Below are 18,445 nucleotides of genomic sequence, written 5' to 3'. Positions count from 1 at the left end.
AATGAGAATACTCATCAACCTATGTTTTTAATCAACAGCTTCACCTGCTGGTTAAGCCTCTCAGTGCACAGTGTGGGCATAATAATTCTCTTACTTCCTCCCAGAAACAGTATTAGACTTCAGAGTGAGAAAGAACTTCACTATCAAATCTCTTTTCCTATTCATAAATTAATTTTGGGATGGGGCACAGAAACAAAGACCAGTGGACATAAATTTGAGTCTCGGTCTAACTGGCGTTTTCTGAACTACACCATTAAAAAAAAAAAAAAGAAAATATTGTAATCCTTCAAATAGGTTTCCTTCCTTGGTTGATCAGAAATGTCCTCATTCCCCAGGTCTCTTCATGCTAAATATGGTAATAGCTGGCAGACAGCCAGCCCAGTAAATTCCAATGATACTTAAGAAAGCATTCATATGGCCTGAAATTACTCTGAACCAAACACTTGAGACCTGCAGGGCTTCAGCATAGAGCAGTTCAGCTGGAGCAACGAATGTCAAAACCAGCGGGGTGCCTTAAAAACACAAAAGCTTGGAAAAAAAGCAATCTACTCTTCTTTATTGCTACATTCTTTAGCAACAACATTGATCTCCTACCCACTGTGCACACAGCACTGCACTAGGGCAGTGAGAGGCTGGACAGAGGAATGGAAGAAACAGGTGGTGTCCATGGGTTGCCAAAACAACAGGTTGCTTCAGTCAGTTCTGTCCTACAACTAATCAATTTGGTGAGGAAAGGGGGAGAGAATCTTAGTCATCTTGTTCTCTGACCAAGCTAACTGGCTAGACCCACTGTACTGGCATTTATCCATTAGGTCAAAGTGTCAGAATTAGCAGTGCATGGTAGACATAGCATTAGTCCTGCCTTTCAGGGATGTTAAATGCTTCAAAAATCTTGGCTATCTAGAAAAGGAGGACAGTAGCCGATTACGTCACCCACCCAAAATCATGTATTTGACTCCAGAATACACTGCTTTTCTCCAACATATTTTTTTATTAAGTATTAAAGTAAATGTCAATTTCCTAGACATATACAGCTGAAAGCATGCTGATTTACGATACAGTCAGATAAGAACTTTCAAGTAGCTACAGAAAATAGCAGTTAACAAATGAATTAACCAATATCATTAGAAACCAAAGGATTAAAAAAATTAACCTATGAAATGAACAATTTTTATATCAGCATTGGTAGCAATTTGATGTTATGTTATATACTGCTAATTATTTCCATACATATTGTGACATATTTAAGACAAAAGACTAACACCCTTAATATTTAAAGAGCTTTTTCAAACCAGTAAGAAAATAATTAAATGAGTAAAAGACACAATTTACCAAAAGAAGTAGAAAAAAAGGCAATACAAACGCCACTGATGATATGAAAAAACATTCAATATCACTGTAATGAGAGAGGCATATTAAGATTAAGTAATATTTACCACTTATCAAATGGTAAAGATTTTTAAAAATAAAACCTAGTGTTGACAATAGTATATTATGTGTGTGTGCATATATATATATATGTAGATCTGTTCATAAACTAAACATATATATATATATATATAAAAATAAATCAACAGCTTTTCTAAATCTAAGGGTAAAAAAACCAAAGACGTATACCAAAAAATTAATGCCAGCATGATTGTGGACATTTTATTTATGCTTTTCTAGATTCTTCAAACATCCTTAACTACTTTTTCAAACATAATTACTTTTTATTTTACAAAAATAAAAAAATCTTGTAAAGGTGCCAGAGAAAATCAGCAAAGTATAAATACGAGTTAATTATCTGTAAACATAACGAATAATTCTGTTGCTACGTAAACTTACCTTAAACTGTTTCAATGTTTGTTTTTAGTTACAACTATTTTCCTTAACTCTCTTAGAAAGAATATGTCAGAGAAGCCACTACATATTACTTACTTTAAATAGTAACATAATGCCAAAGACTTGCATGAATCTCAGGATACGGTCTTTTACCTAAAATTCCTCATGAAGATTAGAATGCACTTTAAATGTTGTAATAAAGTAAATGCCCTTAATGTTTCTAACTAAAGAAGATCTAGCAAATAAATAAACCCATATTCACAGCAAATAAAAATATAATAAAATAATCGAAATACACATGTCCTCAAACTTCAATGTGTCTTGACAGCGTCTGAACCAAAGCATGTGTAAGGAGAGAATTAAACAAAAATGTCTTTGCTACTTACCACATTTACCATTTAGAGAAGTTGATATATCAGCACTATCTAGTTTTGTGATTATTCATACTTAGAAACTCAACAGAACAGATTAGTGAATAAACAGTATTCAATTATTCTTATTTGAATGTTGGTTAGGTATACCAATAGAACAACCTCTCCCTGCTAGGTACCCGTTAAAATAGATTATTGAAAATATTTGAAGCTTAAAAACTTACAGAATCTTCTCACAAAAAAAAAGATGAAAATAAAAAGAGATGAAAAAGAAGCAAACAACAATTTTAAAACGTGCCTGCCTCAGAACAAGGCAGTTTATTTTAGAATGTAACCACAGCTTCTTGTACAACACCTTATTCATCAAGCACAACTGTATTTTAAAGGAATGCTATTTGTTAAAAAGACAACATATTTAGGATAAGGTATCTAACTCCAACCACAATATTATCATCATGTTTTCCTTACTTCACAAAATACACACATACTTTCATCATATGAATAAACATATATAATAAGGGTGAGAGAGCTACTCTTAACCCAGAAACAGGTTCTGCAACACCCATAGATCCAACCTGTCTTTATGCAACAATGAGTCCATCTTGGCAAGATGTTTGGCTGATGTATTCAAATAACCCAGAGTTCTGCCAGCTGCCAGTATCCTGCAGAAGGAACTGACTCGGAGACCAGAAACTGCCCTAGGCAAGCCTCCAGGGAAAGGTGCTTCAGTCCAATGGGAAGAAAAACCCAGCCCCTCACTGCCTGGCCAGAGGACCCGGGGTACCATGGCTGGAGCGACGTAGCTGGCTGGAAATGCGAGAGGGGCAAGGGACACTAAGGTGAACCCCCAAGAGCTTGTTCAATCATACCTAGTAAAGGCCAAACTATTGGGGAGCTAGTAGAACAGGGTTTTGCCAAGACAAGTACAAAAGGGTGAGGGAGATATTAGTATGATTAATCAATGCCACCTGAGGCAGCAACTCTGGGTGTGTCCACACCACACTTCAGTCACTGCCTGGCTGTGACGAGAAGTTCCTTCAGCCACTGCCACTGAGAACTGCATCTTCCAAGGAAGATATCTCCACCATAACTTGTCCTAGTTCAGGCTTGGCATTCGGGACTAAGAACACAGCACTCTCTCTTGCCGCAAACCCACTAACAGACATAATAGACACCACAACATGTGCCAAATTTATATTTACACCCTCACCAGACAAAGGGGTTTTTGTCTTTTCCCCAAGCCAAGTTCTAATACTTCTAAATTACAACACAGAAAGAGGAAAATGGCAGACAGCTCACGACAGCAGACAAGCCCAGCAAGGGTGAGCTGGAGGTCGCCTTTCCCTGGTGGTATTAAGACCTGAAGTTTACTCCCAAGACCCTATAGCTCCGAGTCACCCTGACTGCAGGAAACTGCTTTCAGAGAGCATAGATAAATGATAAAATAACTGTATTTCATATTCCTAATTGTGTGCTTATCTGTCTTGTCTCCATGATGATGTCAGCTCCTTGGGAGCAGGACCATATTTTCTACTTGGTCAATGATTCCCACACATCTAGAAGAGGAGAATACCCTGTACTTGCTACCACATGATGCCAAGGGAAGCACACAAATTAAGTGTGACAACACACCACAATGCTCCCCCAATACACCACTAAGACAGCAGAGCTACAAAGATAGCAAATGTTAGTGCCAAGGGCTAGTGATCCTACCAGTGAATTACATGGAAACCTATGTATTTACATACACAAATTAATAAAATAATTCCTTTGCTTTTCTTATTCCAAGCTATGGCTTTATCATCCCCCTTTCTTGGCTTTACTCTCCTTTTTAAGACCACAATGTATGTTCTGCCACACAGATAATATTCTCCTCCAAAAAGTGAGACAGGAGAAAAAACAGATCTACGGCAAACCTCCTACCACTACCAGTGATGCAGTTTGTCCCGTCTCAAGCCTATGAGCATATCCTTTCAGATCTGAAGCCACTTCCTTCTTCCTATCAAGGACAGTATTATCAAGTGTCTTTGTGAGAGGAGCAATCCTGTGCCCCTTCTTGTAGATTGTTTTGTTCTGCTCAAGAAGCCCTAGATTCCTCCTTTATTTTCCTTTCCTTATTTCATTTGCTGCAGCAGCCCAGAAACCCCAAAAGCAGGACCACCAGAAATGAGTGACCTTTATATCTCTCCACACTAACACATCTGAGGGAAACTGCCGACACCAAATATGTGTTCATGAGCTAATGAAGCAGAAATCCTCAAAGGAAGCACCATTTGCAACAGCTGAGGACAGAATTCTTTAGTGGACACCAAAAAGGCTGTGGAACTCCTATGCATTCTAACATCTCAGGTAACATTCTAATGGAGGAATAAGGAGGCTTACAACAAAGTCATACAACACAAACAGAAGTCCGAAAATGCTGGATTTCACAAATTTCTTTTAAGACAAAACAAACAACTTTACTAACCTTATACCATAGCAGCTTTCTTCTCTGTACTAAGTGAGGCCAGCAAGTAGGAGGCATTTCCAAGGGGGAAAAATGACCACAGGATCTAGCCAAAGCAACCTGTCTCTAATACTCTCAAAAAACAAACAAACAAAAACAAACACTTTGATTTCCCAGATTCACTCTGCAGTGATTCTAAAACTTTCCTAATGTAAGAATCACCTGGCTATTTCTTGAACACACAAATTCCCAGATGACACTCCAGATGCACTGAATCAGAATCTCCATGAGAACACCTGAGCTATTCTTATCATAAGAGAAGTTAGGGAAACACTGCTTGATAAATGTTATTCTCCCACCAGTGCCCACCTGTGCAGGGAGGTATGAAACAAGTAGGGCTAAGATGCTTTACCTGAGCAATCACCCCAGACATGCTCCTCACTGGGTTTGACTCCTTTTATGGAGAGCTGGGTGTCAGCTCAGTAAAGTCTACAGACAAGCATCTCTTTGGGTCCCTATCACCTGCACAGGTCTCAGGACTCTGAGACAAATTTCTGAGTAGATGTCAATGAGGACAAGTCATGAGGAGACGGATTACAGCTGAATATAAGAAGATCTTTCTAAGAATTAGAGCTGGCCAAAGATGGAATAAACTGCTGTGGAGAGCTGTCTACCACAAGAGATGTTCAAGAAGAGAGAAAATATGGTACCTCTTGACTAGAATGTTGTAAACATCAGATCCAGCATGGGATGGACAGAAAGACTAGATGAATTTTAAAGTTCCCGCCAATGCATAAGTCAACAAAGAGGAAAATTTCAGCCACTCCTTAATTAATTAAGAGAGATAGCAAAAAAAGTCTGTGGGTGGGGTCAGCTTTCAACTGATCCTATCTCTTCAAAGGAAAAAAGAACATAGAAACACACTCCAACTCACCATCAGCCTCTCCTATAGAATGTTCTAAAGGTGGGAAAGCAGGAGTCATAGATGCTGTGACTAAGACCTGCCACTCAGTTGACTCTGAATTTGGGGCACATGCCAGACAAGTTCTGTAGTACAGAGAAGAAATGTGTGTAGCACAGACCTGGCCCTCAAGGATCAAAATCATGTGGCAGAGACAACTCAACACCATGTGATTCTCTCAAGTATTTATTCATCATATTTCACCTTTAGTTTTTGTCAGTAGGGTGTTCAGGGGACTCTCTTGGTTCAAAAAAAAAAAAAGCAAATATACTTTACTAAATGTACATATTCTCTCAATCCAGTACAAGTTTGCAATATCCAACTCAATGAAAAAAATCTCAAAAAAATTATCAAAATAAATATAAACTTAGTTAACTCTAATTTTAAAAATAGTATTCCAAAAATGACTAGTCCCCAAAATGATGAAATTACAGTAAGGTGTGGCTATTCTGGACAAAATAACAGAAATTGCTGGCCTAGTAATACAGTAATACAGGAAGCAGTGGAAGCAAACTTGAGTGAGAGGCAGGGGGTGGATGGCAGTGCCTTTGAAGTGAGATTCCAAAGTCAAAGTGATTTATAAATTGCAGAAGTGATCAGAAAAAGAAAGAAAGAAACCCCACACACAAAGAAATTCAAAATTACAAGTTTAAATGAAACATCTGGGGAAGGGAAAAATTTGGTTTTTCCCCAAATGTAAGGTAAGCATGACTCCTGCAAATACTATTTTTAAAATGTCTAGGAGTACCACAGTTGTCCAAAATAAGAAAGTGGCTAAAAATAATTGTTCGACTGAACAAGTATTTATTGTGTGCCTATTAGATACCAAGGCATCATGCCAGGTACAGGGGTAGGGTATGGGCATTAGAATAAACACATAAATGAAAATACACGATTCCTTCCTCATGTACGCATTAACAATAAGCACTTGAGGATGTTATAAGAGTTTTTGTGCACATAAGCGCATTTGTACACGAGATGGAAGCAACGTGGACAGTGAATGAGGCACTGGACACCAGAAGAAAGGAATTCTAGTCTCAACTCTAATTGGCTCTGTGACCATGAACAATGAACATCAGAAAATGGAGGACCGAAACAGTGGCTCTCCTACAAGGTCACCAAACCAATTAATAACAGACCTGGAGAAGAATTCTGGTCTTCTGGCTCCTAGTTCAGTGATCTGTCCAAAATACTACACATATGGTAGGCTGACAAAGAAAGAAAAGAAGACCTTTTGGTTTCAAGTCATTTGCAGAGAAAGGGGGGGAAACAAAAACAGGAAAATCAGGAAAGCGTGGAAGGAAAATTAATAGTTCAAATTTAGGCATTCGAACTGAGACATCAAGAAAGGAAGCATGTAACTATGGACTGTGAACACAATATAAAGAAAATGATGTAAAATTTCTTATATCCTTATTCAAATCACGCCTTGCAGTTTTTTACTCTAAAATCATTGCAGACGTATATAGATAAAGGGTCAAAAAACAACATGTATGAATGACATTTAAGGAAAAAGAGATAACAGAAGAAAAGGGAAAAGGAGAGGTGGAGAATTTATTATATCATCTAAATATATGAAGCCCTTCTAAAGGGTCAATGCAGACATACTGCACCCAGATAAACAGAAGAAATGACATTATATTCTATATCTCTTATGTTAGCAATTTTAAAATTCTTGAGTCAGAAGCGTTAAACACTGGAATGACTAAGGTTACATTTGTTATGGAAATTTCTTAAATTTAGAAAGACCTCATACACACACCTGAAGGTAAAAAAAAATGTACTTAATCAGTGGGTTGCAACCAAGTTACTTGTCAGAATCACCTGTAAACCTTGAAAAAATATGGATTCTCAAACTTACCTTATCAGAATCCCTGGGTGCTGAGTCCAAGATCCACCCCAACAGATTTTGATGTAGCCAGGACACAGAGTTTTTTTCTACCATAATGGGAGAGGTAGGGAGGAGGATCACTAGGAATGGCAACACAGAGTGGGAACTAGATCAATGCAAATTTTGTGGGCAAAATAGAATTTCTGTGGGTGTGATATTTTTAAGATGTATTGTAAGGCTGCTCTGAACCATCCAAGCATATCCCACTGAATTTAAACATTCTCTAAAGGTCTTGAAGTCAGCAACTACAATCCAGGTGAACCAAAAGTTGCTCCTCTATGTCATAGAAGCCTACAGGAGAGGCAGTAGGGTGGGAATGGAGCAGAGAGATCCCAAGAAGTTATGGGTAAATATTTTTTAAATCTAAACATTCAGAAAAATAAGAGAGACTAGGAATCACTCTTCTCCTCCTCTCCACCACACCAAAAAAAAAGGAATAATAAGAAAGTGAAAGGAAAAATAGTTTTAGGTTAAATTTCATCACCATCTGAAAGAAAATTACTCCGATTTTGTTTAAGCAAGAGAAGAATTCAGCTGAGAAATTATCTAGCAGGCAGCAAAATCAGGGAGTCACTTCCCATTGCAAAGCAAAAGAAAACAAGGAGCAAGAGGATGGTCCTGGATAGCTGTTTAGACAATCAGACATACTGCTAACATCTCCTTGCCTTAGAAACTCCGTGATGTTTAAATTAACAATTGGCCACAAGCCAAACACAGGAACACTCAAAAGTTTAGAAGGGTGTGCTGTAATTGGTACCTTAGCAAAACACAATAATAAATTAGGAGGATTCAAGAAGCCTTCACTGTAGACTCTAAGAAGATTTAAGATTTGTACCAAGAAACGGCTTCTAAATCTCTTCTACTGCATTAGTTTAGCATCTAAAGAACACCTGTCTAAAAATCAAAATATCTAAATCCTATCCTTTGAGTCAACTTGACTAACACTCAACTTGACTACCTAAAAGCTAGCTAATAATCGCAGCACCTCAGCAGAGCAGAGGTGGAGGGCATAGTTTTATGCACTGAGATCCTATAATAAAAGAAGCCCTATGTGTCAGAGTAATCCCATTTCTGACATATTATTTAATACTTAATTTTTCAAATCACTTTACAATCATATTTATTATTCCCTACAATTCTCTAAAGCAGGTTATTCCTTTAGTCCTGCTTCATAGGTGAGGAGACTACATATCAAGAAGATTAAGTTATTTACCAAAACAAGTTAATGATAGACCAAGGATTATTACCCTCAGACTGTCTCATTGATTATACTCCTCTCTATCCTAAAGCTACACTTAAAGCTTTCACTCAAAGAAAAAGGAAAAGCAAAAACACCATCATATATGCTCTTTATTAAATGCTTCAGAAACAACAGCTCTGCTTCATCACTACAAAGCCTCCTGGTCCACTTCTGAAATTCTTAGTGACCTAGACGTGTACGAAATTTGAACTTTCCAAGAAGTATCTAGTTGGTGCTGAACAACCCAGTACTATTTTCGGGTGATAAATAACCTTGTTCTCTTTTTAAACATCTGCGATTGACATGTCGACTGACTGTTAACAATGAACAAAGACCATATTTTTCTGAAGCTCATCATCTTCCTAACCTTTTCTTTGAAAACAGATGTAGTTCATGTACTAGTTTTTTGGTGAAGGTAAAAATCTTTATTCAGATTAGGCTCAGAAAAAGAAGGGGCTGCTTTCCGTTCAACAAATATGCACAAGACAGCATCCCACTGGGAGCATCAATCTCAGAAGCAGTAAAACACAGCCTCGGCCCTGAAAGGACTTTCTGAACACCTTTGGAGTGTCATCCGTTTAATATACATTATTTTAATTAATCCTATTAGCTGGATAATTTCTTTCCCATTTTATTGGTGAGTTCATATAGCAGAGCTGGATTTGAATACAGGATTACAGAGCAGGGCTCCAAAGCCCAAGTTATTTCCACTAAAGGGTCTGAAGAAATGTAGAATCTAAAAGTGTGGGTGGGATGGGGAAGATATGATTTGATTCCCTTTCCTTGGTCCAACCGTGTTAGAAACATCCAACCATAAAGAAGCTTTCTAAGGAAGCCCTTTGAATTAACGTATCCACTTTTTCTCACCCGCCCGTGCCCCACCCCCAGCCATGCCAAAGGAGCAGCAAATGCTGCTGCCAGGTTGGAGGAATTGGTGATCGTCACACCACATTCCTGGGTCTGGACACAGCCTGAAACAGCAGCAGAGCTCCGCGCCTCGGAAAGAATAACAGCAGTTGAGATTTTTAAATCATGTGCCTCAGCATGCAGCCACACCAGTTGCCCTACTTCTCCTGCCTCCACCTTTCAAAGACGCGAGCAGCACACACGGCTCCCCCGGACTTTCGGTGGGGTTGGAGTGTCAAAACTCAGGCGCGCCGCAAAACCCCGTCCCCATCCAAACCAAGCCCACACACCCGGCCCATGTGCCGCCCCCTGGCAAAGGCGAGGCTGGCTGCGAAGCTGCAGGCCGTTTGGCTTGGCGGCCCTGCCCCCGCTCTCCACGCCAGAATCTGGCATTCCTTCGCTCAGCCCCTCCGAGGCCCGCCGTCGGCTCTCGCTCGACCCCAAGAAACGCGGAACCTGAAGGGCAAAACTGCCCACCTCCCTGCACCCTGGCACTACGAAAAAGGAGTTTCTGAGACTTGCTGCCGGCCTCCCTCCTGCCGAGGAGGCGTGTGAGGGGTCCCGGGCCGCGGGGAGCAGAGGCGGCGGGGAACCCCAGCGGTTGGCGGGGCACCACGGGAGGGGCCCCCGGCGATGTCCAAACTCTTGGGAACCCAGCGAGTGGCCTCACTCCGCGCCGGCGGCCGAGCCTGGCCTTCCCACACAGAGAAGGACTGAGGGGGAGAAGGGTCGCCCCAGGTGGCAGCCCCGGGCGCCGCGGACAGCGCCCCTCAGCCCGATACTCACCATGCGCGGGGGCCGCCCAGCACAGCCAGAGCGCCAGCAGCGCCCACAGCAGAGCGGGACGCAGGGCGGGCATCTTCTCGGTCGCCTCCTCCTCCTCCTCCGCCGCCGCCGCCGCCGCCGCCTGGGCAGATCCACATGGGGAGGGGGTCCCGATAGAGGAGCCCCACTCTCTCCTCCCCTCCTCCTGCTTCAAAGGCTCAGGCCCTGGCGCTACGCTCCGAAGCCCAGGTGCAAATGCCTCGACTCCCCGCGCCCCGAGTCCGCCGCTCCTCGGCCGCCGCCTCAGCCGCCGCCGGAAGTTTGGCTGAAACTTTCTCGGGTGTGCAGCGAGGCAGCCTCGTGTGTCCTTCCGCCTCAGCCGCCTCCTCCCACCGCAAGCCCCGCCCCACTGTCGCCGCGGCCTCGGCCCCGCCGCCTTGGGCACCCAGGGGTTTCCCGCAGGAAGAAGCGCCGGCCCGAGCTCCGCGCGGAGGGATCTATACGAGTCACTGGCCCCGTCCGCATCCTTCTCCAGCGGCCCCGGGGGCCGCCGCGCCTTAACTCGATCAGGGCTGCAGCGGCTCGCTGGCTTGACCAGTGCAGAAGGGGCGTGGGGGTGAGGGGGGTGGGGTAGGACTCTGAACTTCAAGCACTGGAGTTTGCCGGGATCGTGAACTTGCAGGGAGAGGCGGTCCTCATCCAGTGAGGTCTGTATCGCCACCTACACCCACACATCCACACACTGCTTTGCTAGCTAGAGGAATGCTCTGGAGTAGGACCAGTGCTGTCAAAGAAGGAAAGTGGGCCAAGGCGCCAAAGTCCATTAAAAAGGAATAGAGCCATTACGGAGTGGTGCTGCCCCATTCATTCATTCATTTGTTCATCCGTGTAGCGAATATTTCTTAAGTGCCTTACTTTGCGTAGCTGTGTGCTTGGCAGTGGGATGATACCAAAGATGCACAAGCAACTTTGAGTACCAAGACTTTGCCGCTGTGGGCTGGGGGATTCAGGGAAGGCTTTCCCAGAGGAGCTGGGATGAAAGCGGGATCTTGAAAGGTCAGTAAAATTTGTATAAGACAAGGAGACCAGCTAAGCTAAGGATATTCGTTGTAACACTGTAATAGCAAAACCTTGAAAACAACATAAATGCCCACCCTTAGAGGAATGGATGAATAATGTATGGTATATTTATAAAATGAAATGCAACACAGTAATTGAAAAGACTATAGCTATTTATGTCAATAGGAATAAATCTTAAAAACTAAATGATAGTGAAAAAACTAATCACAGAGGGAGACAAAGTATACCATTTGTGTATATTTTTTTCAAGACAATACTACACATTATCTGTGGATGCATATATATAGATATAGATATTAAGAGACTATAACCAGAATAGTAGTTACTTCCAGGGCAGGAGAGTAGGGGGTGTGATCAAACCTGGGTACAAGTGGGCTTCTAAGAAAAGAGCTAAAAGTAAGAACAGCAACAATAGTTGTATGGACATATCATTCCAGGAAAGAGCCCTCGTGAAAGCAAAGGTACAGTCAAAAGAGTAAGTAAATGAGTTCTGTCTCTGTTAGCAGTGAGAGGAGTCAAGGACGGAAAGGGGGTTGGGACCAAATTATGCAGCCTTGAATGGCAAGCTGAAAGGGTGGGGAGGCAGCTACCTCTTAGGTCACATAAAACTATTGAAAGTTTTTGAACAGAGTTGAGATTGATGGAAAGGAAGATTGCTCTGATAATTCTGTAGAAAATTGATTGTTGGGAGCAAGAGGTGAACTGGAGCCCCAGGACCAGTCAAGAGTTGGTGAACAGTCCAGGCACAAATTTAAGAAGACCTGAACTAATAAGGTAGATTTCAGAAGGAATGAATCCGAGACAATGTTAAAGAAACAGAAAAAAAAAAAAATGGAGGTGTGACTAATTGGATGTGGGAGTTTACAATCCTGTTGGGATGGGAAATCCTACCCATAGAACCTCTCCCTGACTCCTATAGGATAAAATTCAAACTTCTAAACATGGTACATACAAGGCCTTTTCGTCATTGGGCCCCATCTCCTGTCCTCCCTGCCCCTGTTGTGAACTTCACACAATAACAGTATTGACTAACTTGAGATTCCCCCAAACATATCTTGCTGTTTCTGTCCCTGTATCTTTTGTTCCTTTGGCTTGGAATGACTCCTGTAGTCCCCTTCCCTCCTCCTCTTAATGAACTTCTAATCATAATTCATCCTTCAGTCCAAAGAAGGCTTTGCCGACACCACAATAAATTCCTCCCTCTAACAGACAGTCCCTCCACTGTCTTCCACTGCCGCTTCTTTATCTTAACACCGATACTTATTTTTCACACAGGACTCTTTGTATTTCTGTGTTCTCAACTAAGTTTTGAGGTCCTCATGGGCAAAGACCACAGCCTATTAATCCCCAGTGTCTATCACATAATAGATGTTGAACTAGAATGTAAAACAACACTAAGCAAGTACAAGTCAGTATGGGCATAGACCTATGAAGTTCCAAAACTGCATGTTAACAAGCACTTTAGGTAAGCAAGTACCATTAGTGAAAGTAGTCACATTGAAATACTGGAAACCCTTTTCAAAAATAACGTAGTCAAAATATTTTTGGAATTTGTCTTGTGCAAGTATGTTCAGAGAAAGATAACATTATTTTTCAGTTGTTTACCCACAGTGTTACCAGTTCGATCTTCCTCTTTACTCACTAAAGATAATTCATAGTGACTTGGCTGCATACAAATTTTAAAAATCACCTGCAAAGATAAGTTTTGTCACTATTAAAATATATTCAGAAGAATATAAGATAGTTATCCCCAAAGAGCAACTCTAGAAGCGACTGTAGCTATGACAACATTATTAAAATAAATGTGCAGGCCAGGTGTGGCGGCTTATGTCATAAGCCCAGCACTTTGGGAAGCTGAGGTGGGCAGATCACCTGAGGTCAGGAGTTTGAGACCAGCCTGGCCAACATGTTGAAAACCCGTCTCTACTAAAAATACCAAAAATTAGCCGGGCATGGTGGCGAGCACCTGTAATCCCAGCTACTCAGGAGACTGAGGCAGTAGAATCACTTGAACCCAGGAGGCAGAGATTGCAGTGAGCCAAGATCGTGCCACTGTACTCCAGCCTGGACAACAAGAGTGAAACTCCGTCTCAAAAAAAAAAAAAAAAAAAAAAATAGGTATTCAGTTTCTCAAAGTAACCGTTTTAAAGAAAGCAGCTATTATGTTCACATATAACTTTTGTTGAATGTGTTACAATATGAAAACTTACTGCATACATTCTGGTAAGGACAAGAGAAGTAAAGAGTAAATATGAATGGAAGTAAGGGAAAAATATGACTGAAGACATTTTTTAAAGATAAGTTTTAATGATAGAAAAATATGAATAAGGGCTACCAATTGTTTTAGTTTTAATCAAAACTAAAAATATACATCTATGTCTTTACTGATTTAAACTCACATAAAACTGCCTTCCAAAATAAATGCAGAATTGGGCACTTATTTGTTCTCATGTCTGTCCTCTCAGAGCCGATAAGCTGTAAAAAAACTCTCAAAATAAAACTCTGTTTTATTTTCTGTTTTGCCTCGGTTTCTATCACATAAGTGCTCAATAATATATGTTTTACATAAATGCTGAATGAGGAACATATATATCTATATAAACTGGGGAGCAATGCAAGACTGGAAGAATGTCTTGGTGTGTTGGAGAAGTTGAAGAAGAGATTGTGGGATAGCTATGACACATAGATTGAGCTACACCACGAATCTCTCCATGTAACCCAGGAACCCAAGGATATGTGATGAGATGTTTGTGGAAGCAGGAATTAAAAGGAAGATTTCTTTTAATAATGCCTTGCAGTTGCGCAGTGATTTAGACCTTCCAAAAACACTTTTAATTATATTATCTCATTTGATCCTCAAAACAATCGTGGGAAATAGGCACCCCAGTCATTATTATACCCATTTTGCAGATGAAGAAACTGAGATAGAGCTTTAAGTATCTTGCCCAAGGTTAAATAAGTAATTAGTGAGCTGAGACAAACCCCCCACTATTTCTGTCCTCTTACTCAGTCTCACTCCACTGTACCTTTGTGCAACAATGTGAAGCACATCCAAGATGATATTTAGTGTGGGGACCTCTGTGTAGAGGGACACCAGCTTCTTGTCACTTCCATGTTAGCACAGAACAAGCTGACCCACTGTAACTAGGAAACATAAACAAGTGAATACATTCTTTTAATTTAAAATTTTTTTGAGAGCCTGTTCTCTACAAAGCACATACTAGGCTCTGCGGCAATGCAGAAATAAATAAAACCCAGTCCCTGTTCTTTGGAGATCACAGAGCAGTGAGGCAGGCCAACATACAAATAACATAACTACAACAGAGATAAAGCACAGGGATATGGGAAAGTAGAGAGCACTGGGATTAATTTTGAGTCCACTTTCCCCTCATCCAGTCCCCATCCTGAAAGATATGAACTGTGGTGGCCCACACAGCTGGACTGTAAGCCATGTGACAAGAGTCATTTCTTACCCCTTATTCATGTTTGTAAACTCCACAGTAGTTGGTTCTTTGCCTTGCACAGAGTATGTGCTCAATAAAGACCTACTTTCTGAAAGGTTCACAGAGTTCAGCCAAACACAGGACAAGTTCTAGAAGGCAAGAAGTTAACCTCAAGATTCAAACTAGCTCTGAGAATTAAGAACCAGCCAGACCCTTCCACTGAGCCTGGACCCAATTAATTACCTCTGCTCTAATTAAGGGAATCAGTAATGTAAGTAATTGTAATATGGGCGATATAGTTTGCCTGTGTCCCCACCCAATATCTTATTTTGAATTGTAATCCCCATGTGTCAAGGGAGAGACCAGGTGGAGGTAATTGAATCATGGGGGCGGTTTCTCCCATGCTGTTCTCCTGATAATGAGTGAGTTCACGAGATCTGATGGTTTTATGTGTTTGGTAGTTCCTCCTGCATTAATTTTCCTTCATGCTGCCTTATGAAGAAGGTACCTTGCTTCCCCTTTGCCTTCTGCCATGATTGTTAAGTTTCCTGAGGCCTTCCCAGCCATGCTAAACTGTGAGTCAGTTAACCTGTTTCCTTTATAAATTACCCAGTCTTGGGCAGTTCTTTACAGCACTGTGAAGACAGACTAATACAGTGGGCTTGTTGACATAGTTTTTCCCTTTTATGAATGTGATTATCTCAATTTTATTGATGTTAAGGAAGGACACAGTGGCCCACACCTGTAATCCCAACACTTTGGGAGTCCAAGGCAGAAGGATGGCTTGAGCCCAGGAGTTCAAGACCAGCCTGGGCCACAGAGTGAGACCCTGTCTCTACAAAAAATTAAAAAACTAACTGGGCATGATGATGCATGTCTCTAGTCCCAGCTACTCGGGAGGCTGAGGTGGGAGGACCACTTGATCCCAGGAGGTTGAGGCTGCAGTGAACCATGTTACCACTGCTGCATTTCAGCTCGGGTGACAGAGCAAGACCCTGTCAAAAAAAAAAAAAAAAAACTTACCTAGAAATTTCACATCTTCTGCTATGCTTCAGATAAGCAGGAAAATTCATATAGGAATGCTCACTGTATCACTCCCTTAAAATCTTCTTTTAAGCATTTTATGCTAGGAGGTATTACACTTCAATTCCTAAGTAGGTGTGTACTTTTTGTATATAATGATGTATGAAAGGGTTGACCTGTATGCATCAAGATGTCTCCCCAATTTAACAGTATCATAAATTCACAACTGTGTAATTATCAAACCACAGTATTATTGGATGAGTCTCAGTGCTTTAGTCACTAAAATGGTTATGCAATTTTGAATATTTATTGGCGTTGTTCTCAGGGACTGTTGAATTGTTTTTACTCACATTCTTATATTCTTCCTTCATGATTAGCCAAGACATTCTTGACAGCAAGATTCAGGCATACAGAAAGTTTCTACTTCAAAATATGGAAAATCTTCTTACCATCTAGGTGCAGATCATATCTAAGTCCCCTGAAGAAAAAGAAAATGGAAACTTTTCTTACTAAGTGGAATTCAAAATGGTTAACTAAGTATGAGAGAGGGGACATCAAAAGTAAGGAAGAGAAATCCCATTATAAAAAGTGTGCACAGGCCAGGCACAATGATTCACACCTGTAATCCCAGCACTTTGGGAGGCCAAGACGGGAGGATTGCTTGAGGCTAGGAGTTCAAGACCAGCCTGGGCAACATGTTGAAACCCTAACTCTACAAAAAATACAAAAATTAGCTGGGCATGGTGGTGCACGCCTATGGTCCCAGCCACTCAGGAGTCTGAGGTGGAAGAATCACCTGTGCCTGAGAAGTCAAGACTGCAGTAAGCCATGATCACACCACTCCACCACTCCAGTCTGGGTGACAAAGTGAGACCCTGTCTCCAAAAAAAAAAAAAAAAAAAATGCATTAAAAATCTCCTTCTAAGTAAGTAATTCATTGGGAGATAATTAATGGCTGGAAACAGGTATTTATAATGGAAGCATACATGGCCTTAACGATAGGTTTTGCTTCTGAAAACACTCTAATTAAAAAGGGGAAGAGTAATTTTATAGGAAAGTACAAATCAGTGGTGTGTATGTCTACCAGTGTGTGCAAAGAGACAGAGGTGGTAATTGCTGGACTCAGACCAGGTATCAGCAACAACTAAACATAATGACCTTATAAATATGCAGATAGGATTTCTGACAAAGCTAAAAGTACATCATTATTATTATTCATCAATGTGGAATGGAATGTGAAATTGGAATCAGCAGGTGAGGGGTGGTTGTACCTGAATATCCTGGATACCAACTTGTTTTTGTTTTTAATCATTCTAATCTCTGTTAAGAATAATGTCACATGACTACTTTATCCTCTTTCTCAGACCACTGATCCAACCATTTTTCTTTCACACTTTTGCCTCCTTTCCTCTTATAACAGGTACTAACAGTCTAAGCAGAAAAAGAAGAACAGATGGTGGTAAGACCTAGAATGTTTACCCCATTAAGATCTATATCTGAATCCAGAAGGAACACCTCATTGCCGAGAAGAGCCCTGCAGACAGTTCACACCTCTGTTTCTTTTGCAAGATATAGCTACCTCAAAAAATCCTTTCTTGATCAAACTCTTATGGCCTGGAATCCTTGCGTTTCTGCTGATGACTGTCATTTTAGAGTACTTACTAAAGACAATGGTTGGGGAAATAGATATTTTAAAAATAAGGGAAGAAGTGGGTAGGGTAAACCCAGGCTTACTTATGTAAACTCTGAGTGCTGAAGTTAGAAGACAACCTTTAAGATTAAAAAAACAAACAAACAAAAAAAAAAACGGCAAAGTTAGAACACACAAAAGATAGTATAGTTCCTTACCCATCCACCACTTGGTTTTGAGGAGAAAAGGGAAATAAGAAGAGTTGAAGAGAAGAAAAACAGAACAGAAGAGTGGGAAAGGAAGATGAAAGGGTGCTCTGGAGTACTATGCACCTGTTTAGAAGTGGGGAAGTAGCACAAACACTAGCAAAAGAAGAACCACCATGGAGTTCCTCCTTGCACATCTCTCTCCCCTCCTGAAGGCCTAGGGTGAGCCCACAGCATTGTTCCAGCAGTGAGGGAGTCTTCACTGCCCCCTGAGACTCTCTCACGGCTCTTAAGATACCTCCCTGAAGTCCCTCCAAAGAATTCAATGTGCCCCTAGTCTAAATCAGTTTCCTCCATCATAAATACTCATAGATGACGCAACAATAAAACGTTAATAACGATAATGGCAATTTTGTGTGTCAAACATTGTATTAAGCACTTTACCTGCTTTATTGTTTGTAATGCTTCAACAGCTTATGAGTAGGTATTATTATTTCTACTTTACAGTGCAGAAAATGAAACCTGAGTAAGTTGTCTTAGATCACACAGCTGCTAAGCAGTGGCACAGGGATTTAAGCCCAGGTCCATCTGATCAACTCCGATGGCACATAATTGACCTCTGCATTGTCCCGCCTGCCCACAGGTCACTGCCTCAGTGA

At 41.1% G+C, this 18,445-nt stretch overlaps 2 protein-coding genes and 1 long non-coding RNA gene across 5 annotated transcripts in view, besides 1 other annotated feature; 1 reads left to right on the top strand and 2 right to left on the bottom strand.

Annotated features, from left to right (window-relative positions):
• Window positions 1-10,731, bottom strand: part of NBPF26 (NBPF member 26) — a 118,285-nt gene extending 107,554 nt beyond the window's left edge. For all 3 annotated transcript variants that reach the window (NM_001405520.1, NM_001351372.2, NM_001395637.2), the window contains exon 1: window positions 10,426-10,731. In NM_001405520.1, the coding sequence (NP_001392449.1) occupies window positions 10,426-10,498 (73 nt within the window). In that variant the 5' untranslated portion in view covers window positions 10,499-10,731. The remainder of the gene's footprint in view (window positions 1-10,425) is intronic.
• Window positions 1-10,731, bottom strand: part of NOTCH2NLR (notch 2 N-terminal like R) — a 70,907-nt gene extending 60,176 nt beyond the window's left edge. The window contains exon 1 of the mRNA NM_001396072.1: window positions 10,426-10,731. Coding sequence (NP_001383001.1) covers window positions 10,426-10,498 — 73 coding nt within the window. The 5' untranslated portion in view covers window positions 10,499-10,731. The remainder of the gene's footprint in view (window positions 1-10,425) is intronic.
• Window positions 10,263-10,432: a silencer, noted in NCBI's record as "silent region_1249". NCBI's record gives its function as "represses an Ori minimal core promoter by ATAC-STARR-seq in GM12878 lymphoblastoid cells {active_cell/tissue: GM12878}" and the evidence as "EXISTENCE:reporter gene assay evidence [ECO:0000049][PMID:35858748]".
• Window positions 10,732-10,911: 180 nt separating the features above from the next.
• On the top strand, window positions 10,912-18,196 carry LOC105378944 (uncharacterized). The gene is made up of 2 exons (XR_947771.2): window positions 10,912-11,111; window positions 17,371-18,196. It is a non-coding gene; the product is annotated as an uncharacterized LOC105378944 (long non-coding RNA).
• The last annotated feature ends 249 nt before the right edge of the window (window positions 18,197-18,445 follow it).

This window comes from Homo sapiens, chromosome 1, assembly GCF_000001405.40.
Source record: "Homo sapiens chromosome 1, GRCh38.p14 Primary Assembly".
In the NCBI taxonomy this organism is placed as follows: Eukaryota; Metazoa; Chordata; class Mammalia; order Primates; family Hominidae; genus Homo; species Homo sapiens.
The sequence above is the reverse complement of the archived record's forward strand: the minus strand, read 5'-3'. Positions and strand labels throughout refer to the sequence as shown.